The sequence below is a fragment of the Homo sapiens genome, chromosome 19 (genome assembly GCF_000001405.40).
Source record: "Homo sapiens chromosome 19, GRCh38.p14 Primary Assembly".
In the NCBI taxonomy this organism is placed as follows: domain Eukaryota; kingdom Metazoa; phylum Chordata; class Mammalia; order Primates; family Hominidae; genus Homo; species Homo sapiens.
In genome coordinates this window covers 54,592,382-54,612,947 of record NC_000019.10, presented here as the reverse complement: position 1 = coordinate 54,612,947, position 20,566 = coordinate 54,592,382, and the positions used below count along the sequence as shown (strand labels likewise).

General features: G+C 47.0%; 1 protein-coding gene across 6 annotated transcripts; it reads right to left on the bottom strand.

The window, feature by feature from the left end:
• Positions 1–10,566: 10,566 nt before the first annotated feature.
• LILRA1 (leukocyte immunoglobulin like receptor A1) lies at positions 10,567–19,316 on the bottom strand. Of its 6 annotated transcripts, NM_006863.4 has the most exons (10): positions 19,167–19,316; positions 18,670–18,751; positions 18,472–18,507; positions 17,996–18,283; positions 17,546–17,848; positions 17,013–17,309; positions 16,457–16,759; positions 13,662–13,712; positions 12,398–12,436; positions 10,567–12,249 (listed from the first exon to the last, which is right to left on the bottom strand). In NM_006863.4, the coding sequence occupies exons 2-10, from the start codon at positions 18,701–18,703 to the stop codon at positions 12,131–12,133; spliced, it is 1,470 nt and encodes a 489-aa protein (NP_006854.1). In that variant the 5' UTR covers positions 18,704–18,751; positions 19,167–19,316; the 3' UTR covers positions 10,567–12,130. The 6 variants fall into 6 exon arrangements, 3 of the variants coding, with proteins under 3 accessions (NP_006854.1, NP_001265247.1, NP_001265248.1); NR_103501.2 differs by lacking the exon at positions 18,670–18,751 and having other exon boundaries at positions 17,013–17,193; NM_001278318.2 differs by lacking the exons at positions 16,457–16,759; positions 17,013–17,309.
• Positions 19,317–20,566: the final 1,250 nt, after the last annotated feature.

The window sequence follows — 20,566 nt, the reverse complement described above, 5'->3', positions numbered from 1 at the left end:
GCTTGCCACCATGCCCAGCTAATTTTTGTATTTTTAGTAGAAACGGGGTTTCATCATGTTGGCCAGGCTGGACTCAAACTCCAGACTTCAGATAATCTGCCGGCCTCTGCCTCCCAAAGTGCTGGGATTACAGGCGTGAGCCACTGCACCCTGCCTTGAGTGATATACTTTTTTATCTGCAACAACAGACTCTTAGAGATCATCACAGGTAGCTGGAGAAAAATGTAAGACCAGACCATTTGTAATTTCCCTTGGTCCAGACAATTGTTGGTCCTATGAGAAACTGAATCTGGTACTTTCTCAATGTGAACTAGGAATAGTTTCACTTCATAGGAAATTGCAACCTACTTATTTTAGAAAACTGAGTGATATTAGAGTATCACATCCTGTTTGTACTTCTCCATGGGGTGTAGAAAAAAAGACAAAAAGGGTTTTGTGTGATACTTGGGAGATGTGAGCTTTTATAAAGACAAATATATATATACACATATATATACACATGTATAGTTACTATTATAAGTATCTGGCATGAGAAAAGAGACAGGGAACCAAGATTCTTCTTTATAACACCTTTTTCTGACCAAGAATCGAACAGAAACACATACTTCTTCTCCTCAGACACCAAGACTCAGGGCTGTCTCCTTGCTCTCAGGCCAGTAAGGAGTCTCCACTTTCCACCTGTAGTTCTTACAGATGAAGCCCAGTTGTCCCTACATGCCTATATATACAATCACATTTATAGGTGTTTTAAATTTCAAAATCTCTAAAACGTGGGCCTCTTCCATTTTGTACTTGAGTTTATATTGCTAAGATGCATGCCTATTAATTTTTAGTTCCATATTATTATTATTGTTTTCAACTTTTATTTTAGAATGCGGGGGCACATAACGCATGTTTGCTAGAAAGGTATATTGCGTGATGCTGAGGTTTGGAGAACGAATGAATCCGTAGACCCAGGTAGTGAGCATAGCGCCCAACAGGCACTTTTTCAGCCCTTGCCCTCCTCCCTCTCTCCCCACTCTAAGTGTCTCCGGTGCCAGGGCCAGACTCTGTCTCAAAGAAAAAAAAAATCACAGGAAACATCCTGTTGTTATAGGCATTGACAAAGCGTTTACAGCTAAGTCCTTGAACGCAATTAAACAAAAATAACAACTGATGAGTGGGACCTCATTAACCTACAGATCCAGTGAAGGCCTAATATTCAGAATCTAGAAGCAACTTACACAAATCAGCAAGCAACAAACAAACAGCCCCATTAGAAAGTGTGCAAAGGACATGAACAGACACTTATCTATGTCCACATGTGCCCAGTGTTTAGCTCCTGCTTACAAGAATGTGCTATGTTTGGCTTTCTGTTTCCACATGGCATCACTTAGGCTAATGACCTCTAGCTCCATCCATGCTGCTGCAAAGGACATGATTTCCATTTTGATTGCTGTGTAGTATTCTATGGTCCATATATCCAATCCATTGTTGGATGAACACCTGGGTTTATTCCACATCTTTGTTATTGGGAATGGTGCTGCAATGAACATATAGGTGCATCTGCCTTTTTGGTAGAATAATTTATTTTCCTTTGGGCATATACCTACCAATGGGTTTGCTAGGCCGAATTGTAGTTCAACTCTTAGTTCTTTGAGAAATCTCCCAACTGCTGTCCACAGTGGATGAACTAATTTACGTTCTCACCAACACTTGTTCCATTTTCTTTGCAGCCTTACCAGCATCTGTTATTTTTTGACTTTTTAATAATAACTATTCTGAGTGGTGTGGGTATCTCATTGTAGTTTTAATTTGCATATCCCTACTGATTAGTCATATTGAAGATTTTTTGATATGCTTCTTGGACATATGTGTGTCTTCTTTAGAAAAGTGTCTGTTCACGTCTTTTGCCCACTTTTTAATGGGGCTGTTTGTTTTGTGCTTGTTGATTTGTGTAAGTTGCTTACAGATTCTGAATATTAGACCTTTGCTGGATCTGTAGGTTTATTAGGTCCCACTCATCAATTTTTGCTTTCGTTTAATTGCTTTTGAGGACTTAGCTGTAAATACTTTGCCAATGCCTGTATTAAGGAAGATGTTTCCTATTTTTTTTTCTTTGAGATGGAGCCTGGCTCTGCTGCCGAGGCTGGAGTGCAGTGGTGTGATCTCGGCTCACTGCAACCTTTCCCCACCAGGTTCAAGCGATTCTCCTGCCTCAGCTTCCCAAGTAGCTGGGATTACAGGCACCTGTCACCATGCCAGGCTACTTTTTTTTCTTTTTTGTATTTTTATTAGAGACAGGGTTTCACCATGTTTTCTTCTAGGATTCTTATAGGTTTAAATCTTACATTAAAGTATTTAATCTGTCTTGATTTAATTTTTGTATATGGTGATATGTAGGGTCTGTCCAGTTTCATTCTTTTGCATATGGCTAGCCAGTTATCACAGGATTATTTTTTGAATAGGCCTGTTTTTGTTGGCCTTGTTAAATATCAGATGGTTGTAGGTGTGTGGCTTTATTCTGTTTCATTGGTCTATGTGTCTGTTTTTGTACCAGTGCCATAATGTTTTGGTTACTGTAGCCTTGTATTACAGTTTTTTTAAAAATGTATTTTATTTCAATAGCTTTTGGGGTACAAGTGGTTTCTAGTTGTATGAATGAATTGTATAGTGGTGAAGCCTGAGATTTTACTACACCCATCACCCAAGTAGTGTACATTGTACTTGGTACATAGTATTTCATTACTCACTCTCCACCCCCTCTCTCCCTTCTGGGTCTCCAGTGTTCATTACACCCCTTTACATGTCTTTGATTACCCATAACTTGGCTCCCACTTATAAAGTGAGAGCATATGGTATTTGGCTTTCCATTGCTGAGTTAGTTCACTTAGTGTCATGGCCCCCAGCTTCATCCAAGTTGCTGCAAAAGACATTATTTCATTTTGTTCAATGGCTGAATAGTGTTTTCTTGTGTATATGTGCCACATTCACTCATCAGCTGATGGACACTTACGTCGATTCCACATCTTTGCAATTATGAATTTTGCTGCAATCAACATTTGTATGCAAGTGTGTTTCTGATGTAATGATGTCTTTTCCTCTGGGATGTACACATTTGTTGACTGCAGTGGGATGCTAGTGGGTGCAGGGGTGCTGGCCTCCATGTCGGTGTTCAATGCGGTGGCGTCAGCAAGACTGGGTGGGGTGCGCGGGAGCCCCGCAGGCGTTCGTGTGCGCATTTGCACCGGTAGTGGTGTTAGCAAGGTGGCGGGGCTCCGGCCTCATGGGACTGTGTGCACCCTCTGTGTGCACTTCCACGCTGGCGGCTGCTGCTGTTTGCGGTGGGGGTGGATCCGCTGGTCTCCCTGTGTGTGATCACACCGGTGGTAGTGTTGGCGCCGGGAGGGTGGAGGACAGATGGGTACTGGACAGGGAATCTCTGTACCCACGAATGCTCTGACAGCAGTCCCAGTGCTCGGGGGTCGTTGGGTGAGTGGGTGAACTCACACCGGCAGCTGTGGCACTGCGAGGTGCACGTGCAACACACATGCCGTTGGGGAGGGGAGAGAAGGTCTGCTCAGGAGCACATAATGCTGGCAAAGCCCTGGCGGCAGTGGCTGTGGGCGAGCGAGTGCAAGCAAAGTGGCTCGGGGACACTGAGGTGGGGCGAGGGAGTGGGGCGGGCTGGTGAAGTTTGCAGGAGTGAGATACACTATGTGAGATTTCCTCGGTTATAAATAGCCTTGGGGTTTTGGCTTTCTCAAACACCAGCTTTGGTAATGAACCGGCCATGTGAACAGACTCAGGACCTCTTGGTTATCCAGGGGGTTGCTGGCAATGGTGATAGCTGAGGACATGCACACGTGTTCTCCTTCCTGGGTGCTGTGTTATTGAGCCTGCGGATGCTGTCCTGCACGGTGTCAGTCGGCCTCCAGCCCGGAGGCAGCGGTTGCAAAAGCGCTCCACATCTTTGCAATTATGAATTTTGCTGTGTTGGTCTTCATGGGCTTTTTGCCTTCCTTATGTTACGCAAGGGAGGCTGTCCGGTGTCTCAGGCAAAGGGCGAGGCCATTGAGCTCCCGAAAGTCTTTGTCCTTTGTGTTAACCTACCAGGGTGGGGGTATGGGCAGAGGCAGGTGCGGGCTGGGTCAGCCTAGTCCGTGCTCTCGCTTTCCAGGTGCTAAGTGGGTTCAAGCGAACCCTCCCCAGTAGCTGGAATTACAGGCGCACACCACACGCCAGGTTAATTTTTGTATTTTCAGTAGAGACGGGTTATTGTCATGTTGGCCAGGCTGCTTTTGAACTTCTGACCTCAAGTGATCTGCCTGCCTCGGCCTCCCAAAGTACTGGGACTACAGGTGTGAGCCACTGTGCCTGGCCGAAGATGGAACTCTTATTTCCAATATTGGAACTGTCAAATAGGACCTTTATTAGTGGAATTCTAGGAGAGAAGGAGGCACCGTGTTAAATGGGGCTCACACCTCCCACATCATCCCCCAGGCCTGGGCTCTGAGAGGCAAGATGCCCCGAAGAGCAAACCTCCTTCCTGAGGGCAGAGCCTGGGGCTGGGGCCCCTGAGTGTCCCCTCACTGTTACCACCAGCTGCAGGGGGTCTCTGAGTGCTCACCTGCCAGCAGGACTGAAATACTCACAGCAATATTCCCCTGCATGGTGCTTTGTCCTGAGTGAGACGGAGGACTCACGCTGTCCTGGGCTTCGGCGAGCTCTGTGTGCTCCTGAACACTGGGCTTTCCTCTTTATCCAGACCACACTCCTGAGCCTCTAGGGTCTCCTGACACCAGAGGGCCACGGGCCTCCCCTAGGTTATTACAGAGTCTGGTTCAGCCCTGAACGTGGGTTTGGGGAGGGTCCCTGGAAGGAAATCAGAAACTGGGTCCTATATCATTTACCACCCCTCAGATCCCAGCTTTCAGCCCAAGATCCCCCCATGATCCCTCTCAGTCAGCCCAGAGTTGCTGTTCTCCAGCCCCAGCTGCCCGGGGGTGGGACCCTGTCCCCGGTGAGGAGGAGGGACCTGGGACAGCTGGGGACAGACTCACCTGCCTGCACGCAGGTCCTGAGGCCCAGACTCAGCCCTGGAAGAGAGTTCCCGCTGAGAGATTTGCCCCTGAAGCCTGGGCAGGTCCTCTCCTTCCTGAGATCTTCCCTAATCCCCTGGGGTCTCCTACTGGACCAGGGCCTACCTGTGGGGCAGGGTCCCTCTCATGCTAGAATCTCCCATTCCCCTTGTCAAATCTCAGTGAAGTGGACCATGGCCGTGTGGGTGAGAGTCATGATGTTTCCTCCTACTGGCCCCGGCTGTGTGGGTGGATAAGACCATGGTGTCCACAGAACACACACAAAGGAAGGGTTCTCTCCCTTACAGGATTTTCCCACCAGCATCTCCATGGGTAGTGTACTGTCCCGGACCCCGCCACGAGCCTGGCTCTTGTTTTCCTAGTGCTTGGCCTGAGACAGGTACCAGGCTTTCTGTTGATATTTCAGACACACATGGGGTCTCTCCTCATCTCCTTTCACTGTCTGCCTGTCCTGTCCTCTTCTCATTAAGGGCCAGGACGTGGCTGCAAATGGACGTGGTGCCTTCCTGAGTTGATCCCTTCCAGGTGAAGGCAACGGAGGGTTCTTCCTTCCTCTCAGAGCCTCCTCATGGGGTTTCACTCTCTCCTTCAGCTCACCCATAAACACACTCTTGTGGGGAAACTACCATGGCCAGTCTTCTCACCAGTCCTGGGGAAGCTTCAGGGAAGATGCAAATTCAGGCTGCGGGGCAGACTCACATCAGCAGAGACTCATCTCACATCTTGCTCTGCAGTTCCAGTTGAGCTTTATTGCGGCAATGAACAGAAAGGGGAAATACAGGGAGACAAGGGAAGGAATCATGACTCTTTCCCCAGAACTGGAGTGTGGGTTTTCTTTATGCAAAAACGTTCCCTTCACGAACTTCTCATTGACTCATCGCAACAGCATCCGCCCCCGTCTCCCTGGAAACAACATTGACCTGACTCTGCCTTCTTGGTGCCCCCGTCTTCTTTCAAACACTCCTGTTCCCATCCTGTGCTCCTGAGTTCAAGGTTCTGGGACAATACGTGGGGTTAGCACTCTGCTTTGAGGGGAAATCTTGTCTTTATTTAAATATTCTTGTGTCACCCCCTGCCTGTGTGAACTTGGGCAGTAACCTCCCATCTCTGAGCCTTGGTTTCCTCATTTGGAGCCTGTCATGAACCCCATTTATCACAGGGGAGCTGGGTCATTGGAGCCTGGGGGCTGCAGGGGGCTCAGCCATGGGTAATTTCCAGAGCAGGTGAAGACAGGAGGGGTGGGGGCATGAGGGGATGCTGGCGCCCACCATCAAGGCCTGAGATTGATGTTTCCACTAAGGAGAGCCCCTTTGTTCCTGCCCTTGAGAGATGCTTCTCATAATATTTCATCAACACCCCGGTTATCACAGTCATGTCCAGAAAATGAGAAATGAAAGTTCATCAGAAGGAGAAGGATACACACGAAACAGAGAGGGCATCTGTGTCTGGTGCCATTAGGGGTCATTAGGGAGGAAGTTTCCATTTCTGTGCAGAACAGAAAAGGGGCCCTGGGTCCTCACAGGCAGAGAAGGGCCAGGGCTCTGGGCAAGGCTGAAAGCTGTGATGGAATATGTCTATTTACCGACCCAGGCCCATGGCCACCACTGAGCCAACTCCCCTGGGTGTGTGTGAAACAAATTCATTCACTGCAGAGTTCTTACATGTGGGTATCTGTATCATGTGTGGGTATGAGTTTTTTTTTTTTTTTTGAGATGGAGTTTTGCTCTTGTTGCCCAGGCTAGAGTGCAGTGGCATGATCTCCACTCACTGTAACCTCCACCTCCCAAGTGATTCTCCTGCCTGATTCTCATGACCAAGTGATTCTCCTGCTTCAGCCTTCTGAGTAGCTGTGATTACAGGTGCCCACTACCAGGCCTGGCTAATTTTTTTGCATTTTTAGTAGAGACGGGGTTTTGTCATGTTGGCCAGGCTGGTCTTGAACTCCTGGCCTCAAGTGGTCTGCCCACTTCGACCTCCCAAAGTGCTGAGATTACAAGCATAAGCCACCGTGCCCGGCCATGAGTGTGAATTTCACATGCATTTTTTTCCTTCTGGGAGCAACCTGAGCAGACACTATGTTTGGGAAATGAATGCCACGTGTCATCAGTAGCTGGAACAGTCCCCCATTTTCAGTCCTGGATTACTAAAAACTGCCTTGAGAGGATCCCTCCATGGTAGCTCAGGAGTGTAGGAGGTGAGTGTCCAACAAAAATAGACAACCAAGAGCCATCCTTCTAATGATAAAAAGTGCTATGATCATCAGTCTACACATTTGTTGATAAGGATTATTATGTGCAAAGAAATAGAATACTAGGAACGCATAAGACCCTTTTTCAATTAAACATGTTTAAATATCTGAAAAAAATACAAGAGGAAATTAAATTTCTGAGACAAGAATATGGATTATACTGGCAAAAAATGAGCATCAGAGAAATGAGTTAGAAATCCTAGAGGCAAAAATTCAGTTGAAGAAGCACACTCAAAATATTTATTCTATCAAGGTCAAGATACAGCTAAAGAGACATTTATTAAATTGGAAAACAAAATTGGGAGAATTTTCCAGAATGCACTATGGAGACACCAAAAGTGAAAATTCACCATATTTGGGGGAATATTGTGAGGAGGGAGAACCTCATATCTATTGTACGTGTCAGAAGGAAAGAAGGGAGAATAATGTCTGGCAACAGCTCACGAATTAAAGAGTTGAACATTTGACAGAGACGAGGAAAGACTAATTAAGTGCTAAGATGCATACATTTAAACATGCAATGTAAACCTTGACCTACCATGATAAATTGAAAAATACCAGAAGTAGATTAAAAAGTATATATGCTAGACTGAAATTGTCTAGCATAAATTGTATAGTTTAAAACACATTTTTGTGTCCTGTGATTTTCAACTCAACATGTCAGTAGAATAGCATGATCACTGGGATCGGACTTCCCAACAGAAAAATGAAAGGCAAGGAAATGTTGAAAATGTACTCTCAAGGGATTAACAGCAAGTGAGGAACTCTATGCTTACTCAGGTTAATACCTAAAAGTTAAAGGGGTCAGCAGGGGACCAATTCCTAAGCAGAAAAAGGCTCAGAGCAAGACAGACCTGTGAAGCCCATTAGGTTGGGCTTCCCCTGCATGAGGGCTGAGGAGGGATTGGAGGGTGGATCCCTCAATCATCAGATGTGCTTTCTCTTCCAGGTGTTATATCTTACCCTTTAATTAATATAGAAATGTTTTCATCTATTTTGATAGAGAAAGTGGGAGGAAAAATAAAGCATTATCTGAGCTGCAAGTTACTAGATATTACTGTTTTCATACTCAGTGAAAGCAATTTTAAATGATGTTATCCAGATAGATCAATGAATCCAAAATGTAGGATGTGAGATGCCGGTGATGAAAAGTGGGAAACAGGCAAGTATTTGAAAATTGCATGCACGCACACACACGAATGTAACTACACACACATATAAGAGTACATGTCTTTTCTAAAGGACAAGGATAAATGAATCTTCATTCAAAAATATATAATCGAATACTTAACTAAATTCATGAAATTATTCTAAATTATTCATTTTTTACCCCGTATGTTAAAGAGTGATTCCCCTACTCAGGATGAGTTAAATAGCCCAACACCCCCAATAACACATTAGGCATGAGACACAATAGTATCATCTAATATAAAATCATAATTTAAAATCAGTAAGGGAAGAAAGACATGCTGTTAAAATTATCTATTAGAAACATTAATAGTCCACAAAATGTAACATAATACAAAACTTTTTTGAAAATAGTGAAGTTTTATGTTTTAATGAAGGTATTAAGTGCTGGGTACGGTGGCTCACACCTGTAACCCAGCACTTTGGGAGACTGAGGTGGGAAGATCACTTGAGCCCAGGAGTTCAAGACCAGCCTGGGCAACATAGTGAGACTCATCTGTGTTAAAAAAAAAAAAAAGAGAGAGAGACGGTATAAAAAATGATAAAATAATTGTAAACTTTCATTCATCTAACCATGGGTTATTGAAATATATACAACATAAATTTGTATATATTTGGTGATTCAAAGAAATATTTATCAAGAACTGAGAGGTTAAGAAAAAAAATGAATGAGTATACAACTTAATGTTCAATCTGAATTACATACATATGGTAAAACTCTCTAGTTACATATGTTATAGGGTTTGTATATAGAAAAACAAATTCTATGTATGTATACATATATATGTTAATTTGTGTATATATTTACCTATTATGTACATAAGCACTATATGTATACACACACGGTATATATGTGTGTAGATGTGTAAAGAAATGTTACACAGTTTGTATGGAAAAAGAATTCACATATATATTCTGATATATTGTATACATACACTTACTCTAGGTGTTATGTGTGTATATATTTACATATTGCATACAAATACATTATATGTGGATATATAGTATGTGTAGATGCCACTGTACAGTATATATGTGTGTGTGAGTATATATATGTGTGTATATTAATGAACACATACCTCAAAGGGGGGAATGCCCATATTTATGACATACATTGCACGTAAAATGTTAAGTATTTACTGGACAAGGAAGGAAAAATCTCCAAATTTTTCTAAATGACTATCTTATACATTTTATTCCCAGACATGATTGTTATTTAGTTTGAAGTTAACAATAAAAAGATATTATGAGAAAACCTCAATATTGCTCAAAATTAATAAAATCCTCAGTCATTTTGTACGATATATATTTGAATTCATGATGTACTAAGAAATATTTTGCTAGATGGGTGTTTGTATTTTATATTGTTTGGATAATTATTTTACTTTTTAAGGCATATGAAGAATTCCATTTCCATTTTATGAAATAGGAGTCCTGAGGAGATTGCCATGGATCCAGCAAGGAATTTCTGGCAGAGGAAAGTAGACAGCAGTACTGGGAAAAATCACTGTATGAAAAACCGAGGAAGAAGGAATTAGGGCTCCCGGATGGGGTGAAGACCCACCTGCAGAGTGTCTCCGAGCCCTGAGAGTGGAGCAGTGTGTTCAGGACCCTGAGCCTGTGGAAGGAATCTTCTCTGAGATGTGAGTCTATGGAATGTGTGTTGTAAGACCTGCCTTTTCTTAGTATAATCCAGCAAAAGCCCATGGGTGAGGACTCAGTTTTATTTTAGGGGATGTGGGGACAGTATATTTTCTATTCATATTTATGCAAATTTCATAGTGCTTGTCAGTCATGTAGAAAGCAGAGGTCAGTGTGTTCACAGGATTCATACCCAAGAGTCTGGAGACACACGTGGGGTCCATGGGAAAGGCTGGTGGCCAGGTATGGCGGGAAGGTAATCAGCGACAGACGCCAGAGTCTCCTGCTTGATCTTGCCGAAATCTGGCTCAAATGTTTGGCCTGGCACAACCAAACTAGAACTTGGAAGATGCTGTATAGGTAAAACATAATATTGTAATCATTCATATTCTGTTAAGGCTTTGAAAATGTCCTTAATAAGATTTCTTTATTCTAGAGGGTAGATGGCAAATGATAACATTTCTTTATTCTGGAGGGTAGATGATGAATGATAAGATTTCTCTATTCTAGAGGGTAGATGGCGAATGATAAGATTTGTTTACTCTAGAGGGTAGACGGTGAATGATAAGATTTCTTTATTCTAGAGGGTAGATGGCGAATGATAAGATTTCTTTATTCTAGAGGGTAGATGGTGAATGATAAGATTTGTTTACTCTAGAGGGTAGACGGTGAATGATAAGATTTCTTTATTCTACAGGGTAGATGGCGAATGATAAGATTTCTTTATTCTAGAGGGTAGATGGTGAATGATAAGATTTCTTTATTCTGGAGGGTAGATGGCAAATAGCTGCTCCCTTTGTCCTAGAAAGTTGAGGACTATTTGATCCCTCATGTTTTTCAGGATCCTCCCTCCAAATATTCCATCCTATGCAGCAGGGTTTTACATCCTTCAAACACAACAGTGGTCTTGGACCTAGACATGTTGAACTCTTTAATGCTAGGACTCAAGTCCTCTTGCTGTTTGCGACAATTCAGAAAAGAATCAGCCCCAGTCATTTTGCATACTTCTGCCTGACTGTCCTAGGTGAGTAGAAAAAAACAGCTCAACTGCTTGTCAAGATTCATCGACCTGAGGTCTTGTCTGCAGCTGGATTTCTATCCTGCTTCCGTGATTTTCCTTTCGTGGATCACCAACACACTGCAAATGCCTATCATTGCTTTTGACGTGGTGTACTTTGGTTCTGCCTGGAAAGGCAGGAAGTCTCGAAGTGAGGAGCTCACAGGTCAAAGGAGATTGAAATGTTTTCAGACAGAATAGGCAAATCCGTAGAGACAGAAAGCACATTTGTGGTTAGCAGGTGCTGGAGGGAAGAGGGAATGGGGAGTGGCTGCTGAATGGGTGTAGGGTGATGACCATGTGTGGAACAGGATGGCAGTGATGGTTACACAATGATCTAAGGAGAAGCTGCACAGGTAGCATGTGAGAAGGAGGGAAGGGCTCGTAGGGTTCAGAGAGGGTGTCAGGGCATCAGGGTGGATTTATCTTTTCCTGGTTGAAATCCGATACTCTCCCATTGATTTAGTTACTGAAGCACGTTTGGAACTCTGAATTGAAGAGATGGAGGCTCAGTAAAGCACACCAGGGAGTATGGCAATGAGTAATAAAGAAGACTGTGTTACACACCATGGACCAGAGCACACAGATGTGCAGAGGTGTGGACCCAACGCTGCCATGTGGGATGTAGCCTCATGTCTGTCTGGGGGTGGGGAAAGAAGAGGATCCAACCAAGGGAAGTCAACATTAATAGAGAGGAAAGGTATCACAGGTTAATGGTCCTTCATGGATCACTCCAGAAAATGTCTCTGCAATCCAACACTGATTCCTCCCTCTAAAAATGATTGGCAGACAGTCCAGATAGCATCAGCCCTAAATTGTCTCCCGGAACCTCCTGGCATCATCAGATCTGTTCCCAAGGCTCCACCACTCTGAAGGGTACATTCTTCTCTCTGCTGTTCACCTCCCGGCTGCATCTCAGAGGCTTCTCTGGCTGTGCTGAGCCTCAAATAGCAGAATCCCGAGGACCACCAGGACCAAGCCAGCTATGCCCATGCGGATGAGATTCTCCACTGTGTAATCCTGGGGGTGTGAGGCTGGGGATGGTGGGCAAAGAGGTCACAGAGGTCAGGGCAGATCAACTTCACCCAGGACCTCTGGATGTCCACCCAGAGCACCTCCTTACCCTTGACAGGACCCAACCCTTGTGCCCAGCACCGTAAACGAGAGCATCTCCTCACTCACCAGTCTTGTTTTGTGATGGGCTGAGGGTGTTAGCTGCTCCTGAGAATAAAAACAGAGGGGAAGAGCCCTGAGCCAGCCTCTCCCCTGGGCTCTGCATTCTTATCTTCCCCTATGTCTTCTGACATGAGTTCTAGGGAGTTCCTCAATAAACCCTTCCTGTGTAGCAGGGTTCCCTCCAGTGTCCTTATTGAATTATTTCAGATTTCTTGCATTCTAGAAATTCGAATGTTACTCCTGAGGCATTTGGGGAGGGCGTTTTCCTGCACTCTGGGAGCTCAGGATCTGCAAAGGAATACAGAAGTCACTGAGCCCTGTGCGCTGTCTGTGCAGCCAGGGACACAGGAGCACATGAGCCAATTCCCCCAGAGATGAGAGTTTCACTTATCCACCAGCGGAGGACCCAGGCTCCATGCATGGGAGGTTGGTCTGCAGGGGCTCCCCAGTGTCAGAAGCACAAAGGGGTGAAAGTCTGGGGGTGCTTCTTCTTCACACAGCCTCAGCCAGTTCACCTGGGGTTTCATCTTCCATTTAATCTCTAGTTAACTAATTCCTCATATAGGCAGTAACACCTAGAATGCAATACAGTTTCCCACATTCACACACACATACAAACATATATATATATATGCTAAATGGAGATGTCACTCAAGGTTCATAAATCAGTATTTGTTTTTATGAAGTGTGAATCTAGGTGAATCTAGACCAGGAACAAACATGTAAACACCTACCGCATCAAATATATTAAGCATATGCATGAATATACATCAAATGAATTTGGATATACTTACACACATATTCAAAAGTATCTTACTTAACCACACATAAATATGTATATATGTAAAACTTCAGATATTTATTTAAGATGTAGTAACATATATATTGACATTTAAAGTGAGAAATATTGGCACATAATTTAGAAATAAAGAAGTAAAATTTCCCATTGTCTTACGGTTTATACAAATTGTATTAGTAAATTAGAGGAGATCCATTGAAAAGCAGTTAGAACAGAGCAATTTAGTAGTGAGTTAGCATGAAATACAATGAATATACTCAAAGCAGTAGCTTTCTCATGGATAGTTATCTCTTATTTTAAAAATGTAAAGGAATGAAATACTTCACTTATAAATCATTAAAGGTGTTGAAGAATTCTTTAAATTAGAATGAATGTAATTTTTTAAAATGTCCACCCAGGACACCCAGCTCCCCTTGACAGGACCTGACCCTCTGTGCCCAGCGTCATCACGGCAAGCATCTCCTCACTCACCAGCCTTGGAATCGGACTTGTTTTGTGGTGGGCTGAGGGTCTCAGCTGCTCCTGAGAATCAAAACAGAGGAGAAGAGACATATTCAGAGGTAACTTATATAACAAATTCTATATAAGATTATGTATAACTTATATAACCTCCCTGTCAAGGAGAGGTGGGTGTCCTGGGTAGACATTTAAAAAATTATATTCAGGCCAGGCACAGTGGCTCATGCCTGTAATCCCAGCATTTTGGGAGGCTGACGTGGGCAGATCATGAGGTCAGGAGTTCAAGACCAGCCTAGCCAACATGGTGAAACCCTGTCTCTACTAAAAATACAAAAATTAGCGGGGCATGGTGGCGGGCGCCTGTAATCCCAGCTACTCGGGAGGCTGAGGCAGGAGAATTGCTTGAAACTGGAAGACGGAGGTTGCAGTGAGCCAAGATTTCACCACTGCACTCCAGACTGGGCAACAAGAGCAAAACTCCATCTCAAAAAAAATTTTTTTTAATTATATTCGTTCTAATTTAAAGAATTATTCAACACCTTTAACAATTTATAAGTGAAGTATTTGATTCCTTTACATTTTTTAAAACGAGAGATAAGTACTCATGAGAAAGCCACTGGTTTGGGTATATTCATTGTATTTCATATTAACCCACTACCAAATTGCCCTGTTCTAATTTAAATCTAAATTAACAATTTAAAGCACTTTTTTCATATAAAAGACGTTTATTTAGATGTTAGAATTATCCAGTGATTGGACAAGGTTGGGCATGAACCCCCCAGGCCCAGGGCTGAGCTGCACTGTAGCTCCCGCTGACCTCCCCCGGGTTTCTCATGCCACAGGGAGCCGCCCAGTCAGTTTCGCTCGGGCCATTGTGCTTGGAAACATCCAAACATTTCTGAAGTTCGTTAAGGAAACCTCGATTTTTAATATGTACAGGAGGAAGACTTGAGGTTAATGAAAAATGGATGTCTACATTGAATATATAAATTAAATCAAGCCCCAATGAAAGGCAAAGTAAAATTAAATGTTTTTAAATAATAGGTTCATATAATTGAAATAAAAAATATAAATTTATATATTGAAGTATTGCTTTAAAAGTTTTAGTAAAGGAGAGAGCATACATATAGAAAGCATACGTACAGAAAATACAGTGTAGAAATGAATGACATATGAGACGTGCTGTGAATCATTCCCTAACTCATCCAGGGAGCAGGTGCACGGTCCCTCCTTAGTCTCCGGGTGCCCTGAGCACAGAGCCTTGGTGGGATCTGACTGTGGTGAGGGTTGAGTCCACCCAAAACGTGCTCCTTTAGAGAGAAGCACTCCAGCTGTGGGTGCCGCTCACACGGCCCCTCCTGTGCTCACCTGGTGGGCTTGGGCTCAGGGCACCCCTGAGACTAAGGAGGGGCCGTGCACTTGCTCCCTGGCAAGTTAGGGAATTATTCACAGCACGTGTTGTGTATCACTCATTTCTGCTCGGGGTGGACTTCACCCTCATCACAGTCAGATCCCACCAAGGCCTCCTCTCTTGTCTTGAGATGGCCCAGGGACCCTACAGGTGTGGGTGAGGGGTTCATCCTCAGGGGCCCTTGGAAATGAGAAATGAGAGCTGCCAAGGGACCGTCTGTCTGTCCTCTTTCCAACTCGCCCGCCTCTGTTCCTCCTCCATCAGCCCCAGCATCTTCCACGTGTCCAAGTCAGGCTGGACCCCAAATCCTGCTGACCCGACCTGTTCTCCCTCTTCTACTCGTCACACATCCTGCAGGACAAGGTCGGGGTGTGGGGTCCTGCAGAGCTGTGCCACGTGTTGCTTTCAGTAGAAAATTGGAGAGATTTTGTTATGTACATGAGACAGTGGAGAGTCTCAACCAGAGGTGATGTCTCCTGGAATCCTGCTCGGGGAGGGGGAAAGACCCCGCTGCTCCACTCATCAATGCTGAACCTCAGACACCTCTCTCCCCTCTGAACACCACGGAGGGAACACCTGCCCCATCCCTGGAGCACCAGGAAGCCATGCAGACCACACCCTTACTGTCCACCCTCCCCTCTGCTGCCCTGGAAATCAGACCCTGAATATTAGAGGTAGCATTGAGATGAGTCTAGAAACTTCTTTAGAGCTGGGAGTGACTGGGTTTTTGTCACCCATGGGGTCAGGACTTAGAGGTTGGGATCCCCAGAGGCTCTGATTCTGAGGTGGAGACATCAGGAGGGGAGCAGGTGGGGCCTCTGTCTTTCACCCTCAGTCTACTCTCATCTCCTCTGAGGTTCACCCCCATCTCCTCCCAGCCTTCCCTGCTCTTTACCCTACTGAGACTACAAGGGTGGGAGCCAGGGGTGGGAGGCCCCGTCTATTTCCACCCTCCCATGGGCTCGACCCTCCCCCGCAGACCTTCCCCCTTCACTCCACTCTTTTCTTTTCCTTTTTTTTTGAGATGGAGTCTCGCTGTCTTGCCCAGGATTGAGTGCAGTGGCATGACATCAGCTCACGGCAAGCTCCGCCTCCCAGGTTCATGCCATTCTCCTGCCTCAGCCTCCCGAGTACCTGGGACTACAGACACCTGCCACCACGCTTGGCTAATTTTTTCTATTTTTTAGTGGAGACGGGGTTCACTGTGTTAGCCAGGATGGTCTCGATCTCCTGGCCTCCTGATCCACCCGCCTGGGCCTCCCAAAGTGCTGGGATTACAGGTGTAAGCCACCGTGCCCAGCCAACTCCCCTCTTTTCTTAGTGTCCAGAGCTCTCCTGGGGGGCAGGGCCTGAGCTGATCCTTTGAGCTCGGAGAGGACAGGGTCAGGGCCCTCACCTGAGACCATGAGCTCCAGGGAGTCACTGGGGTGAGACAGCAGGTAGGGGTTGGAGCTGAGTGAGCCGTAGCACCTGTAGGTCCCCGAGTGGGCTGAGGTCACAGGACTCATAGGGAATTCAGCCTGGTACTTAGGATATTCGTGTATTGATCTGAGACGGAGGGGGGCATCAGCTGCTCCCGCCTTGGTCAGAAGGAAAGTGTGGAACGGCCCCCATGACTGACACAGCAGGGTCACGTTCTCTCCTGAGGCCACCGTGGGGCCCGGATGCACCGAGATGAAGGGTCTGCCACGGAACTGTCCTGGAGAGAAGAAGGATGGGTGAGAGGCTGCCCCACCTTGTTCTGAGCTGACGCCTCCCCAGGCTTCTATCTGGGACCCTCAGTCTCTATCTCTGTTTTCTCTGAGTCTTCCCCGCCCCGCCCATCCCCTGTCTCTGTCTGTCTCTCCCTCCCTTGGGACCCCCACCCCTCATTCCGGCCATCACCACCTGGGCTCCCCTGGCAGGGCCTGTGCGGAGCCTGTGTCCCTGACTGAACCCGCTGGGCTCCTCACCTGCGATCAGGATGTCCAGGGGGTCGCTGGGGGCCGACCACTCGGAGGAGAGGTTGTATGCACCGGAGCATCTGTACTGGCCCCCGTAGGAGCGGCTCACAGGGCCCAGGGTGAAGTTGGCCTGGGAGAGCCCAGCCTGGGGCTGTGGGCCAGGGAGCTGGAGGAAGTCACGTTCTCCCTCCTTATACAGAACAAATCTGTCGTAGCTGACATCAGAAACACACTGGAGGGTCAGGCTCTCCCCAGGGGCCACTATAGGACCTGGCTGCACTGAGAGTGATGGCTTCTTAGAAACACCTGGGAAAAGGTGCTCATGGTTTCCAGGAGCCGACCCTCAGGCTTCCCCACATATCCTCCCTCTCCCCCGGGGCCTCACCACTGCTGATCTTCCTGTGTCTCCGGCCCCAGGAGCCCTGAGCCCTCTCGCCCCAACATCATCCCACCTGGAGCTGCCCTGAGACGTGGCTGCTCCCCACCTGCCTGGAGACTCAGGGAGACTCAGGGAACTCCAGGCAATGCTGTGAATTTCTCACCTAGGACCAGGAGCTCCAGGAGATCACTGGGTAGAGACCACACATGGGGAGAGTTCGAGTCATAAGCATAGCACCTGTACGACCACCTGCGACTCGGGCTCACGGGGCCCACAGAGAAGATGGCCCGGGACCACCCATGGGTACGGGGCTGTGAGTTCAGGCATTGTGGGTGTTCATCTTCTCCTTCCTTACACAGAATGAAGCTGCCAAATGCCACCTGTGAGACACAATGGAGGGTCACGTTCCCTCCTGAGGTCACCACAGGGCTGGGTAGAGCTGAGAGGGTGGGTTTGATGTAGGCTCCTAGGAGAGAAGGAGGCACCATGTTAAATGGGGCTCACACCTCCCACTTCATCCCCAGGGCTGGGCTGTGAGAGGGAGATGCCCCTGAGAACTGACTCCCTTCCTGAGGGCAGAGCCTGGGGCTGGGAGCCCTCAGTGTCAGCTCACCTGTCACCACCAGCTCCAGGGGGTCACTGGGCTCTGACCAGCCTGCAGTGTGGCTACCGTAGAAACAGCGATACCGCCCTGTGTGTTCCCAGGTGATGGATGGGATGGGGAACTGGCCCTTCTTCACAATCTCCTGTGGGATCCGTGTAATCCAGGGTGCTGTTTTCTTTTCTCTATACAGACGGTACTCCTGGGTCTCCAGGATCCCCTGACACCAGAGGGTCACGGGACTCCCCTGGGTGATCACAGAGCCTGGCTCAGCCCAGAGTGTGGGCTTGGGGAGGGTCCCTGGAAGGAAATCAGAGTTCAGATTCTAAGTCATTTCCCACCCAACATATCTCAGCTCTCAGCCCAGGACCCTCCAGATGCCCCCATCAGTCAGTCCAGAACTGCTATTCCCCATCCCCAGCTGCACGGGGGTGGCCCCTTGTCCCCAGTGAGGAGGAGGGACCTGGGAGAGCTGGGGACAGACTCACCTGCCTGCACGTGGGTCCGGGGGCCCAGACTCAGCCCTGGAAGAGAGTTCCCTGTGAGGAATTTGCCCCTGAAGCCTGGGCAGGTCCTCCCCTCCCTGGGATCTTTGTGAGCCCCTGGGGTCTCCTTAGGGACTAGAGGTCGGCTGTGGGGTGAGGTCCCTCCTAGGTTAGAAGCTCCCCTCCCTCTTCAAATCTCACTGAGACAGATCAGGACTGTGACGATGGGGGTCATAGCGTCTCCTCCCACTGCCCTGCTCTGCGGATGGATGAGCCCTCGGTGCTGGCAGGACAGAGACACACAGAGAGAAATAGCCTCCCCTCCTTCCCACCCAGTGTGGACACTCGGAGGCTGGGTCCTTCTCATGGGGTGTTGTCATCTGCAGCCACACAGGAAGCAGAACTACCCTACCAGGAGCCTGACTCTCATTCTTTTAGAGCTGAGGTGGGGGCAGGAACCAGGCCCTCTGCAGACATTTCAGACTGTAATGGGGTCTTTCCTGACCCCCAGCCACTGTCTGTCTGGTTTCTCCTCTTCTCACTGAGAGACGGGATGTAGCAGCAAATAGAACTGGTGCTTTCTGCGTCTGCCCTTCCAGATGAGGGTAACGGAGGCTTCCCTTTCCTTCTCACAGCCTCCCACATGGTCACCCTCCCTCCTTCAGCCATCCATCAGCTCAGCGTTGTGGGGTCCTTACCATGGCAGTCGTCCCTCCAGCCCTGGAGATGCTTCAGGGAAGACCAAGGTCCATGCTGCAGGCAGACTCAGATCAGCAGAGAAGCATCTCGCATCTGGCTGTGTAGCTCAGGTTGAGCTGCGTGTGGCAGTGAGCACAGAGGAGAAATGCAGGGAAATAGGGGAAGAAAAGTTGACTTCTTTCTTGACACTGGATTGTGGGTTTTCTTTCAACCAAATAGTCCCCTCTCAACTTCCCCTTTTTAAAATATTTTGCTACAGTGTCCACTCCCACCCGCTGGGAACAAACATCTGAGACTTTCCTGCCTCCTCGGTGCCCTTTGCTTACTTGGCCATCCCTCTGCACCTCAATCCCTGTTCAACGTTTTGAGAACAATGACTTATGTTTGAGCTTTGATTTGGGGAGTGGGGGAGGGAGTTGATATTTATTTGATGACTGGTTATCATCCGCTGCCTACATGACCTTGGTTTGTAATGTCCCATCACTGAGCCTCAGTTTCCTCCTTTGCAGATTGTTGTCATGAATCCCACTGGTCACAGTGGTTGTTGGGTCAGTGGTGCCTGGGACATTCGGAGGGGCTCATTTGTGCTTGATTTCCAGACCAGGGTAAGACCTGAACTGTTTGGGATGTGAAAGGATCTCGATGTTGGACCCCCCAGTCTGTGTAGATGATTGATGTGTCCACTCTGGATCTCACATCTGACCCTAATGGAGAAATGTACATGAGGCATTTCTGAAATACCCAGAGCATCAATGTCATGAGCAGAAAAAGAGGTGAGGAAGTTCCCAAGTGTAGGTGGATCCACAAGAAAGAACAGAGGCCAGAGGGTCCCAGGACCTTCAAGGGGTAATTAGAATGGAGTTTTCCACCACTGAATGGAGGTGGGAGAGGAACCTCGGGATCTGCAATGACAGTGAGGGCCTCAGGGCTCCAGACCAAGGTGGGAGGCTGCGTCCTCCAGCTACACCTGAGGCTGGAGTGGACCCCAAGCAGCCCAGAGGAATTCCATCAAAGGAGTGCACCAAACCGTCCAGTGATAGAGCTGCTGGGATTCCAAAGAAAGAAGCACTAAACACCAGGGTGTTCATAGAGCATTTGTTAGAGGGACTTCCATAGAGTGGGCCCTGCAGCATGTCCTGGAGGTAGACAAGGTGACACTGGGTGTTCTATCCAATGCTTTAACCTAAAATAACAAAACAAAACAAAAATCTAGAGAAAATTATCTCTAAGTACAGTTGTTCTTTGGTGTACAAGGGAACTGGCTCCAGTCCGTGGCCCACATGTCACAAAACCTGCCTGTACTCCAGCCCTGAAGCTGGCTCCACTGCACCATGTATAGGGAAAGTCTGCCATTCGTATACACAGGATTTGCATCCCACAAATGCCATAGTTATGATCC